Here is a 12,914-nt window from a genome sequence, read left to right as displayed (position 1 = left end):
GCCTGTAATGCCAGCATTTTGGGAGGCCGAGGTGGGTGGATCACCTGAGGTCAGGTGTTTGAGATCAGCCTGGCCAACATGGCAAAACCCCACCTCTGCTAAAAATGCAAAAATTAGCTGGGCGTGGTGGTGGGTGCCTGTAATCCCAGCTACTCCGGAGGCTGAGGCAGGAGAATTACTTGAACCTAGGAGACAGAGGTTGCAGTAAGCCGAGATGGCACCACTGCACTCCAGCCTGGGCAACAGAGCGAGATTCTGTCTCAAAAAAAAAATTAGCCAGGCCTGGTGGCAGGCACCTGTCATCCCAGCTACTCGGGAGGCTGAGGCAGGAGAAATCACTTGAGCCTGGGAGGTGGAACTTGCAGTGAGCAGAGATTGCGCCACTGCACTCCAGCTTGGGTGACATAGTAAGACTCTCTCTAAAAAAGAAAATACAAAAAAACACACAAAAATTAGCCAGGTGTGATGGTGGGCACCTGTAATCCCAGCTACTTGGGAGGCTGAGACAGGAAAATTGCTTGAACCCAGGAGGCAGAGGTTGCAGTGAGCTGAGACTATGCCATTGCACTCCAGCCTGGGCGACAAGAGCAAAACTGTCTCAAAAAAGAAAGAAAGAAAAAGAAAAAGAAAGAAAGAAAGCTATCTTCAGTATTTTCAGACCCTTGTCAACTAATGCTATGAACACTCATAATTACATCTTTTAGATTTTCAGGTAACACCAGAATCTGTGGGTGGTTCTATTTAAAATGAAGTCGCTGCTTGGTGTCCCTGGAGGTCATCTATTTTCTTAAACCAAAATGCGCAGCTGAGGACTTGTGCTCTGGTGCTGTTCTCTTCCTGGTGTCACCAATCATGGTTTTAAATGAACTCCGGCAAGAAGGCCTGGAACCCAAGAAGGCCCCACCCAGCACAGCTGAGCCCAGACGCTACCAGAAATTCGCGGCAACACCACTTGTGAGGCTTGCCAGAATAAATACGGAGCCCCTCACACAGCCCAGGAGGGGCAGAAAGAAACCCCGCTCCCTGACTGCAAGCAGCATATTTTTTATAGAATCAGAGTTACAGGGGAACTGTCTTGCTCTCCGAAATCCTTAGCCATGCACACACACACACATACACACACACACGCACGCACACGCACACACACACGCACGCACACGCACACACGCACAGCTCCAGCAAAGCCCGGTTGGCTGCCAATGGAGGAGTGCACACGTGCTGTTTTGGGGGCATTTGTCCAGCCAGCCCTGGCCTCAAAGGCTCAGATCTAAAACAAAAACAGAGTGAGGTGCCTGGGCGGAGTGGCTGGCATGCATCCCTCCCCTGGGTCTCTGGCCAGCCTTACTTAATTTTTTTTTTTTTTTTTTGAGACAGAGCCTCACTCTGTCACCCAGGCTGGAGTACAATGGCATGATCTGGGCTCACTGCAACCTCCACCTCCCTGGTTCCAGCAATTCTCCTGCCTCAGCCTCCTGAGTAGGTAAGATCACAGGCGCCCACCACCACGCCTGGCTAATTTTTTGTATTTTTAGTAGAGACAGGTTTTCACCATGTTGGCCAGGCTGGTCTCGAACTCCTGACCTTAAGTGATCTGTGTGCCTCAGCCTCCCAAAGTTCTGAGATTACAGGTGTGAACCACCTCGCCCAACCTGGCCAGTCTTATTTATTTCACATTTTGTTTATTATTTGGGAGTTCAGAGTAAATTACTTGACAAATTTGAATACTAAAGAGAAAATTTTCACATTCGGCCAGCCTAAATCACTATCGAAATTTACCCGCGGCTCTTTTCCCTCCGTCACCTGTTGTTGGAGTTTATAAGTATTGCTAAAATCTGAATGTGTCATGTCTTCCCATGTATCTGTGCCTTGTGACGGTAACTTACATACATTTCCAGATCTCCCTCAGCGCCCGTGGTTCTGAGGAACACTCCTTCCAACCTTAGAGAGAATAAATTGCTGCCCCCTTTAGGTTAAATGTGATTTGGCTTCTTTCTGTTGCACAATCTCTTTTTTTTCTTTTTTTTTTTTTTTTTTTTGAGACGGAGTCTTGCTCTTGTACCCCAGGCTGGAGTGCAATGGCACAATCTCGGCTCACTGCAACCTCCGCCTCCCAGGTTCAAGCGATTCTCCTGCCTCAGCCTCCCGAGTAGCTGGGTTACAGGCATGCACCACCACACCCGGCTAATTTTTGTATTTTCAGCAGAGACGGGGGTTTCACCATGTTGGCCAGGCTGGTCTTGAACTCCTGACCTCAGGTGATCCTCCCACCTCGGCCTCCTAAAGTGCTGGGATTACAGGCGTGAGCCACCGCGCCCGGCCTCTGCTGCACAACCTCTTTTGCACAAATATGTCAAATTTGAATTTTCACATATTAATTAGCCCCATTCAATGGCTTCTCAAGTCAGCTTTCAGTCAGTGCAGGCCATTGTACTTTGGTAATTGCATAGTGTAAACCTTCTTCTTCTACTGCTCCACAGATTCTCACTAGTGAAGTGCTATTCTCTTTTCATCGGGACTAAAAATAAGAAACTAGGGACCCTCTGTTTTAAGTATATTCTGCATGACACTACTGTGGCAGTTTGGGGAAGAAAGAAGGGAAAGAATTTGCAGGCTGGGCACAGTGGCTCAGGCCTGTAACCCCAGCACTTAGGGAGGCGGAGGCAGGAGGATCGCTTAAGCCCAGGAGTTTGAGACCAGCCTGGACAACATAGCAAGACCCCATCTCTACAAAGGAAAAATTTTAAAATTATCTGGGCAAGGTGACACACACCTGTGGTCACAGATAATTGGGAGGCTGAGGTGGGAGGATTGCTTGAGCCTGGGAGTTCAAGACCAGCCGGGGCAACACAGTGAGACTCCACCTCTAAAAAATTAAAAATAGGCTGGGCGTGCCAGGTGCAATGGCTCACGCCTGTAATCCCAGCACTTTGGGAGACCAAGGCGGGCAGATCACGAGGTCAGGAGATTGAGACCATCCTGGCTAACATGGTAAAACCTCATCTCTACTAAAAATACAAAAAATAGCCAGGCATGGTGGCGGGCGCCTGTAGTCCCAGCTACCCGGGAGGCTGAGGCAGGAGAATGGTGTGAACGCAGGAGGCGGAGCTTGCAGTGAGCCAAGATCACGCCACTGCACTCCAGCCTGGGTGACAGAGCAAGACTCCATCTCAAAAAAAAAAAAAAAAAAAAAAAGAAAGAAAAATATAGGCTGGGTGCAATGGCTCACACCTGTAATCCCAGCACTTTGAGAGGCTGAGGCAGGCGGATCACTTGAGCTCAGGACTTTGAGACCAGCCTGGCCAACATGGCAAAACCCCGTCTCTTGTAAAAATACAAAAATTACCCTGGCATGGTGGCGGGCACCTGTAGTCCCAGCTACTCGGGAGGCTGAGGTGGGAGAATCGCTCAAACCCAGGAGGAGGAGGTTGCAGTGAGGTCACTGCACTGCACTCCAGCCTAGGCAACAGAGCAAGACTGCATCTCAGAAAAAAGTAAAAAATAAAAAATAAAAAAAGTAGTGCCTGAGCGTGCTTCCGTGCTGTGGACGGCAGGTGCCTTTGGATGATGACAACGGAGGTGGCCATGGCGGCAGCACAGCACAGTTGCTGAAAAAGCCTCTGCATAGAGGCCCCTGTCCATGCCACATGGCCACCTCCAGGGGACCAAACTGCCAGGAATACCAAGACAGGAATACCGAGAAGCCAGCACAGAGGCCTCACGACCTCTGCTCCCCGGGACCTCCGGCTCTCACTTTCACAGCCACAGAGATGCACCCGGGCGATGTGGCAGGGCCGTCTCTGAAACTGGAAAGGTTCCCTTGTCCCCCTCGCAGGATGTGTGATGAGATGTGTCTCGCTTCCTCAGTACCCCGCTCTCAACCTCCAGGGGAGCATACAGACGGGCAGGCTGTGGGGCTCCCACCCCACGGCAGTGTCTAAGGCTGGATGTTTCCAGCTCCTGAGGCCCCAGTGGGCGTGTGTTCCAGGGTGCCCTATAGGCAGCTTGTGTTAACCAGCTCAATTCGACCCTCTACCTTGCCCCAAGGACAGAGGGCTTTCTGCATCCCAGGTTCTTGCCTTGGTGTACCAGAAGGATCACACTTGGGCTGGGAGAATGAGTGCAAAGTTTTATTGAGTGGAGGTGGTTTTATTAAGCCAGAAGGGAGATGGTCTTTCCCTGGAGATGGGCCTCTCGGGGGGCCCAGCTCTCCTCTGACTGCCCCGGTTGATGGATCGATGGTCGGCCAGCGTGCCAGAGTCTGTCGGTGAGCCCTCCTGGCTGGCGTGCTCCTCTCGACGACCAGCCACATGCATCTTCTTCCTCCGATGTGCTCCTCTCCACCTCTGGCCACCTGTGTGTCTGCCCGCTAGGGTCTCAGGTTTTCAGAGGCCCAGGATGGGGGCATGGCGGGCCAGGGTGGTCTTGGGAAATGCAACATTGGGGCAGGAAATCCCTGTCCTCACCTAGGTCCATGGGGGTGGAGCCCTAGCCAGGGACCTGCCTTTCTCTACCCAGCACTTCCCTCCTGTATCATTGAAAGGGTTCACACTCTTCCCTTCCCAGTACTCCGGTATCATTTCCACTGCAGAAGTGGCAAATGTGGCCGTGGCCTGCATGGCCAAGCTGCAGCATTCACAGCTGCACATCTTCTGCACAACTTTGCAAGGAAGAGGAAGCACTCCTGGTTTTGGGTTTTTTTTTGTGTTGTTGCTTCTTTTTTTTTTTTTTTTTTGAGACGGAGTCTCGCTCTGTCACCCAGGCTGGAGCGCAGTGGTGCCATCTCGGCTCACTGCAAGCTCCACCTCCTGGGTTCACGCCATTCTCCTGCCTCAGTCTCCCAAGTAGCTGGGACTACAGGCGCCTGCCACCACACCTGGCTAATTTTTTTTTGTATTTTTAGTAGAGATGGGGCTTCACTGTGTTAGCCAGGATGGTCTCGATCTCCTGACCTCGTGATCCGCCCGCCTCAGCCTCCCAAAGTGCTGGGATTACAGGCATGAGCCACTGTGCCTGGCCTGTTGTTGCTTTTTTGAGACGGAGTCTCGCTCTGTCACCCAGGCTGGAGTACAGTGGCATGATCTTAGCTCACTGCAACTTCTACCTCCTGGGTTCAAGCAATTCTCCTGCCTCAGCCTCCCAAGTAACTGGGATTACAGGCACCCACGACCATGCCTGGCTCATTTTTGTATTTTTAATAGAGATGGAGTTTCACCATGCTGCCCAAGCTGGTCTCAAACTCCTGACCTCAGGTGATCGTGTGCCTTGGCCTCCCAAAGTGCTGGGATTACAGACATGAGCCACCACACCCCACCCACTCCTGGTTTTTTGTTGGCTGAGGTTAAAAATCAATCTTAAGAAGCAACAACACCAAACCACTCTGAAGAGCGCTGTTCTCACGCACGCACGTTCTCGGGGCTCATGGGTTTGAGCGGAGCCTCCCTGGGATGGGAGATTGGCAGCCTGGAGCCCTGGGGGACGGACCCATTCAGCATCTTTACCTTAATTGCTTCCATGCGCCATATGTATCCCAGGACCGCGTAAACAACAGCCCAAAACAACAGGAGGCAGAACTGTACTTCTCACCGGGGCTTCTGTGGAACTTGGGAAAACTGCCAGCAAGATTCAAGAGCCAAGCGCGGCGCCTTCCCCAGGCTCGAGGCCAAGTGGAGGCCGGGGAGCGCGTAGGCAAGAGCCTCCGAAGAACTGCACGCCCCTTGGGGGGCCCCGAGTCGGGGAGCCACCACCCAGCACTGTTGGGACAGGCACAGACTCATCTCTAGCAGGGAGACAATGTGCGTTCATTAGAATTCCGTGGGGCCCGGGGCGGCTTCTGAGAATTTAGAGGCCAGCAGTTTTGCTAGGTGAGGAGGTTAGAAGAAAATAAGCCCCTTGACCCAAACTTCACTTAAAAAAAATTATGTATTTTATTTCTATGGATTGATTGATTGATTGATTGAGGCAGAGTTTCACTCTGTCGCCCAGGCTGGAGTGCAGTGGCATGATCTCAGCTCACTGCAACCTCCACCTCTGGGTGCAAGCAATAGTCCTGCCTCAGCCTCTCAAATAACTAGGATCACAGGCGCCCGCCACCACGCCCGGCTAATTTTTGTATTTTTAGTAAAGGCGGGGTTTCATCATGTTGGCCAGGCTGGTCTGGAACTCCTGACCTCAGGTGATCCGCCCCCCTCGGCCTCTCTAAGTGTTGGGATTACAGGTGTCAGCCATCCTTCTGGCCCAATTTTTGTGTATTTTAAAAGTAAAGTTACAGACAGGATTTCACCGTGTTGCCCCAGCCGGTCTTGAACTCCTGACCTCAAGCAGTCCTCTGGCTTCTGCCTCCCAAAGTGCTAGAATTACAGACATGAGCCACCACGCCCAGCCCCTAACTTCACTTTAAAAATATGACTTTTCGCTGGGCGCGGTGGCTCACGCCTGAAATCCCAGCACTTTGGGAGGCTGAGGAGGGCAGATCACGAGGTCGAGAGATCGAGACCATCCTGGCTAACACGGTGAAACACCGTCTCTACTGAAAATACAAAAAAATTAGCTGGGCGTGGTGGCGGGCGCCTGTAGTCCCAGCTATTCAGGAGGCTGAGGCAGGAGAATGGCATGAACCCGGGAGGCGGAGCTTGCAGTGAGCTGAGATTGCGCCACTGCACTCCAGCCTGGGCGACAGAGCGAGACTCCAACTCAAAAAAAAATATGACTTTTCTGGCCAGACACAGTGGCTCATGCCTGTAATCCCAGCACTTTGTGAGGCTGAAGCAGGTGAATCATGAGGTCAGGAGTTCCAGACCAGCCTGGCCAACACAGTGAAACCCTGTCTCTACTAAAGATACAATAATTAGCCAGGCGTGCTGATGCATGCCTGTAATCCCAGCTACTGGGGAGGCTGAGGTAGGAGAATCACTTGAACCCAGGAAGCGGAGGTTGCAGTGAGCCGAGATCGTGCCATGGTACTCCAGTCTGGGCGACACAGTGAGACTCTGTCTCCAAAAAATAGATAGATAGATAGATAGATAGATAGATAGATAGATAGATAGATAGACAGACAGACAGACAGACAGACAGACAGATAGATAAAAATACAAAAATTTAGCTGGGCATAGTGGCAGGCACCTGTAATCCCAGCTACTTGGAAAGCTGAGGCAGGAGAATCGCTTGAACCCAGGAGCCGGAGGTTGCAGTGAGCCAAGATCGCACTATTGCACTCCAGCCTGGGTGACAGAGTGAGACTCTGTCTCAAAAAAAAAAATACGGCTTTTCTTCATAAACAATAAACATGTTACGTGAGTCTGTGTTGAACTATCTAGTCTGGGCTTCAGCCTCGGTGGCAGATGTCTTGTGTATGACACATCTGAGAAGCTGCTGTTACCCCATAAATATTTATGGGCAACCGTAATCCTCTCACATTACAAGGATTTCTGTACTCATTTTACAACCCTGGTCGATGTTCTGTGCTGGGTTAGAAGTCATTTCACCAAAGTGTGTTTCTAACACTCCAGAAAACCCTCTCCTCACTCTCGTCTCTGAATGAAGAACAGAGTTACAACCAATGCGGGTCAGTAACAATGTTTAAACCCCTCCAACACCGGGCAGCCGGGCCAGATGGTGCCAGCGACGCTGCTGACATGGCCACGTTGGTCTGGTGCCCAGTTCAAAGGTATCTGGTAGGCCTTCCTTTGTTGGTGAGATTTTCACAAGAATGCGTGCAATTTCTAGCTCCAGCCAACTTGGCCCCAAATGTAAGACTGTAGGAAAAAATCCGCTGTTAATACGGTCTCACTCTATCTTAAAAGAGTTTATGTATGCACTTAAAATTTAGCCATTTATTATTTTATTATTATTATTTATTATTATTATTTTTGAGATAGAGTCTTGCTCTGTTTCCTAGGCTGGACTGCAGTGACACGATCTTGGCTCACTGCAACCTCCGCCTCCTGGGTTCAAGCGATTCTCCTGCCTCAGTCTCCCAAGTAGCTGGGATTACAGGCATGTGCCACCACGCCTGGCTATTTTTTGTATTTTTAGTAGAGATGCGATTTCACCATGTTGGCCAGGCTGGTCTCTAACTCCTGACCCCAAGTGATCCGCCCACCTCAGCCTCCCAAAGTGCTGGGATGACAGGCGTGAGCCACCGCGCCCGCCTTAGCCATTTCTTTAAAACAATCACTATGCATTTTCTTCTCTCAAGCTGTGAGGTCTCTCCTTTATTTTTCATCTATTGATGTGAGAATCGCTAATTTGGTGGTTCATTTAATGACTATCGATTGGCTAGGGGAACAGGACAAAGTTTCTGATCTCATGGAACTTATATTTTAGGGGAGAGAGACAGAAAATAAAAATAGTCATTTAAATAGAAAGGAAAATACCAAACAGCAAAAAGTACAAAGAAAATTAAAATAGGGTGTCCTGGTTCAAAAAAGAGAGTGGCTCTGAGATGTCGGGTGGCAAGTACAGCCCTCGCTGGGGAGGTGACCTTTAACCTGACATCCGCCCCACCAGGGGACAGGCAGGCCCAAAGAAGAGCTCAGGTCCCGAATCACTGATGTGAGGCAGGTGTGGTGGCTCACGCCTGTGATCCCAGCACTTTGGGAGGCTGAGGCGGGAGGATCGCTTGAGCCCAGGAGTCCCAGGCCAGCCTGGGCAACACAGCAAGACCCACTCTCTACCCCCCCAAAAAAAAAGAATTAGCCAGGCATGGTGGCGAGTGCCTGTAGTCCCAGTTACTGGGGAGGCCAAGGCAGGAGGATCTTCTGGGCCCAAGAAGTTGAGGCTGCAGTGAGCTGTGATTGCACCTTTTCACTGTACTCCAGCCTGGGCAACAAAGTGAGACCCTGTCTCAAAAAAAAAAAAAAGCAAAAGACCAAAGTCACTGATGTGAACGCAGTTTGTGAACTGTAAAGGATTCCACAGCCTCCTGCATTCCCCCCACCCGCCCCTCTTCATCACAGGCTCCTGTGTTTCCCCCACCTGCCCCTCTTCATCACAGGCTCCTGCGTTCCCCCAACCACCCCCCTTCATCACAGCCTCCTGTGTTCCCCCACCCCCCCTTCATCACAGCCTCCTGTGTCCCCCCACCCCCCCTTCATCACAGCCTCCTGCGTTCCCCCCACCCCCCCCTTCATCACAGCCTCCTGTGTCCCCCCACCTGCCCCTCTTCATCACAGCCTCCTGTGTTCCCCCACCCCCCCCTCTTCATCACAGGCTCCTGTGTCCCCCCACCCCCCCCTTCATCACAGCCTCCTGTGTCCCCCCACCCGCCCCCCCTTCATCACAGCCTCCTGTGTCCCCCCACCCCCCCTTCATCACAGCCTCCTGTGTCCCCCCACCTGCCCCTCTTCATCACAGCCGCCTGTGTTCCCCCCACCCCCCCTTCATCACAGCCTCCTGTGTCCCCCCACCCGCCCCTCTTCATCACAGCCGCCTGTGTTCCCCCCACCCCCCCTTCATCACAGCCTCCTGTGTCCCCCCACCCGCCCCTTCATCACAGCCTCCTGTGTCCCCCCACCCGCCCCTCTTCATCACAGCCTCCTGTGTCCCCCCACCCGCCCCTCTTCATCACAGCCTCCTGTGTTCCCCCACCCGCCCCTCTTCATCACAGCCTCCTGTGTTCCCCCACCCCCCCTTCATCACAGCCTCCTGTGTCCCCCCACCCGCCCCTCTTCATCACAGGCTCCTGTGTTCCCCCCACCCGCCCCTCTTCATCACAGGCTCCTGCGTTCCCCCCACCCCCCCTTCATCACAGCCTCCTGTGTCCCCCCACCCGCCCCTCTTCATCACAGCCTCCTGTGTTCCCCCCACCCGCCCCTCTTCATCCATTCTCCAGCCCTGGGAGGTGAATCCTGGAAATGCTGACCACAGTCCTATCCCCCCAACGTGTGTGTGTGTGGTGTGTGTGTGTGTGTGTGTGTGTGTGTGTGTGTGTGTGGAGAGAGAGAGAGGGACAGGGTCTTGCTCTGTTGCAAGGCTGGAGTGTAATGGCACAATCACAGATCACTACAGCCTCAACCTCCTGGGCTCAAGTGATCCTCTCGCCTCAGCCTCCTGAGGAGCTGGGACCACAGGGGTTCACCACCATGCCCAGCTAATTTTTTAATTTTTTTGTGGGGATGAGGTCTCACTACGTTGCCCAGGCTGGCCTCGAACTCCTGGGCTCAAGCAATCCTCCTGACTCAGCCTCCCAAAGTGCTAGGATTACAGACGTGAGCCACTGTGCCTGGCCCCAAATCACTTTACAGCAGGTGGAAAATAGTAACCAGACACCAGGCTGGACCATGGATCTGGTAATAAAATCAAGGAAGGTGCCGTGGGCTGCAGGGAAGGTGACGTTCCTCCAGTTGAGAGGATGATTTGGAGAGTCTGTGCGCTGGAAACTGCGGTCTTTGGGGTCAGACGGCCCAAGGTGGAATTCTGGCTCCGCTCCTCCTGGGCTGGACACCTTGGGCAAGGTCCCTCGCGGCTTTGAGCTTCATGTCTGTGACCATCACCCACACTGACCTGCAGGGTCACTGAGAAGACGGGACAAAGTACGGCGTGAAGGGCACAGGGGCAGGCTGCGAGCGGCGTTTCATAAACGGTAGGAACTGGTTTTTTGTTTGTTTGTTTTTGTTTTGAGACCGAGTCTTAGTCTGTCACCCAGGCTGGAGTGCAACGGCACCATCTCGGCTCACTGCAACCTCCACCTCCTGGGTTCAAGCGATTCTCGTGCCGCAGTAGCTGGGATTACAGGCTTCTGCAACCATGCCCAGCTAATTTTTGTACTTTTCGTAGAGACAGGGTTTCGCCATGTTGGTCAGGCTGGTCTCAAACTCCTGACCTCAGGTGATCTGCCCACTTTGGCCTCCCAAAGTGCTGGGATTACAAGTGTGAGCCACTGCACCTGGCTGGCAGGAACTACTGGGTTTTTTTGTTTTGTTTTATTTTGTTTTTGAGACAGAGTCTCGCTCTATCGCCCAGGCTGGAGTGCAGTGGCACGATCTCAGCTCACTGCAAGCTCTGCCTCCTGGGTTCATGCCATTCTCCTGCCTCAGCCTCCCAAGTAGCTGGAACTACCAGCGCCCACCACCACGCCCAGCTAATTTTTTTGTATTTTTAGTAGAGACGGGGTTTCACCGTGTCAGCCAGGATGATCTCGATCTCCTGACCTCGTGATCCGCCTGCCTCGGCCTCCCAAAGTGCTGGGATTACAGGCGTGGGCCACCGGGCCTGGCTGGAACTACTGTTTTTATCAGCTAAGAGCCAATACTGAAATCAACAGCTCCCCAAGCAGAAAGATTTCTTCCCCAACATTTATGCAACATCAAGACCGCTGATCTTGGCTGAATACCTGCCTCCAGGAATGAGTAAACTCCACAACCCCCTGTACCCTAGCACGGCACCTTGGGGCACATGGGAGAACTTGGGAGCCCAGGCTGTCCGGGGCATCGCTGTCCTCTGCAGAAAGCTGCACCTGTTTGTCCCGGGGACACCTGCCGTGTTCAAGGACATGCTCCCAAGATTCCGCTAGGTTCAATCACCTTCTCTGCATTTCCAAAATACAGATGAAGGAAACTGACTAGATAAAAGATTTCTAAATGGCCCCTCCACAGCCAATCCAGTTCCTGAAAGAAATGTCTAAGTTGCGTGGTCCAAACCAGAACAACGTGATTTTTAAACGCAAAGCTCTGAGCAGCACAGGTTTCCTGAGCCTTGTGGGAGCAGGAGCACTTCGAGCCAGAGGGATGCCTGTGAGGCCGAAAGCGCCTGGGAGGCCGAGGGCTTTCACGCCGCGCCGGGCACCACGCTGCCAGCAGAGGCCAACGGTGAGCAAACAGTGCCACCCCCTGGCACCCGGCTCAGAGACACTCACGCACGGGCTCTGCAAAGCCAGGGTGTCCTGAGAGAGGTAGGGTGAATGAACATCCCGGAGCAGCTGAGATTCCCATGCAATGTCCCAGAGCGGGGCTCGTCTGGGGAGACAGCTGCCCTGGGGTGAAGCTCACTCTCTCTCCAGCTCGATGGCTCCAGCACAGCCCTGTCCCGAGGCTGCACGCGGGAACCGCCTGGACCCTTCACAATCACCCTCCGAGGCTGCCACCTGTATCTCAATCTCTCTTCTTCAGAGCAGGAAACTGGGGCAGACCGGCCCACACAGCTGGGGAGCGGCAGAGTTAGGAGACAACACCAGCGCGTCTGAGAGCTGCGCCCGCTCCCTGACATCAGGGCGACAGACCCCTAGGACGGAGACCCAGGTGGGAAGAGCCACTGCCTGAGAAAAGCCAGGTGTGGCTGCGTGGGGCCCCTCGGGTGTACGGGGACGGCTGGACTGAGGCACCCAATGTGGAGTGAACTCACTGTTCATTCATTCACCCACCCTCCGACATCCACCACGGCCTCAACGCAGGCCCTGCTCCAGGCACTGGAGCTACGGTGGCCTCGGTTTTTTTGTTTTTTGTTTTTTGTTTTCTGCTTCATCGCCCAGGCTGGAGTGCAGTGGCGCAATCTCAGGTCACTGCAACCTCCGCCTCCCAGGTTCAAATGATTCTCCTGCCTCAGCCTCCTGAGTAGCTGGGATTACAGGCACCTGCCACTACGCCTGGCTACTTTTTCAATTTTTTTTTTTTAAATTATACAGTGGTGCGATCTTGGCTCACTGCAACCTCCGCCTCCCGGGTTCAAGCAATTCTCCTACCTCAGCCTCCCATGTAGCTGGGATTACAGGCGCCCACCATCATGCCCAGCTAATTTTGTATTTTTTTTAGTTGAGATGGGGTTTCACCATGTTGGCCAGGCTGGTCTCAAGCTCCTGAGCTCAAGTGATCCTCATGCCTTGGCCTCCCAAAGTGCTGGAATTACAGGCTTAAGCCACCACACTCAGCTCATTTTTGTTTTTTGCTTTTTGATTTTTTGTTGGTGGGGGGTGGGTGACAGGG

At 52.8% G+C, this 12,914-nt stretch overlaps 1 annotated feature.

The window, feature by feature from the left end:
* Window positions 12,033-12,534: an enhancer, noted in NCBI's record as "H3K4me1 hESC enhancer chr7:1232959-1233460 (GRCh37/hg19 assembly coordinates)". NCBI's record gives its function as "activates a minimal SCP1, AML or CMV promoter by ChIP-STARR-seq in naive H9 embryonic stem cells {active_cell/tissue: H9 hESC(naive)}" and the evidence as "EXISTENCE:reporter gene assay evidence [ECO:0000049][PMID:30033119]".

Source organism: Homo sapiens, chromosome 7, assembly GCF_000001405.40.
Source record: "Homo sapiens chromosome 7, GRCh38.p14 Primary Assembly".
In the NCBI taxonomy this organism is placed as follows: domain Eukaryota; kingdom Metazoa; phylum Chordata; class Mammalia; order Primates; family Hominidae; genus Homo; species Homo sapiens.
The sequence above is the reverse complement of the archived record's forward strand: the minus strand, read 5'-3'. Positions and strand labels throughout refer to the sequence as shown.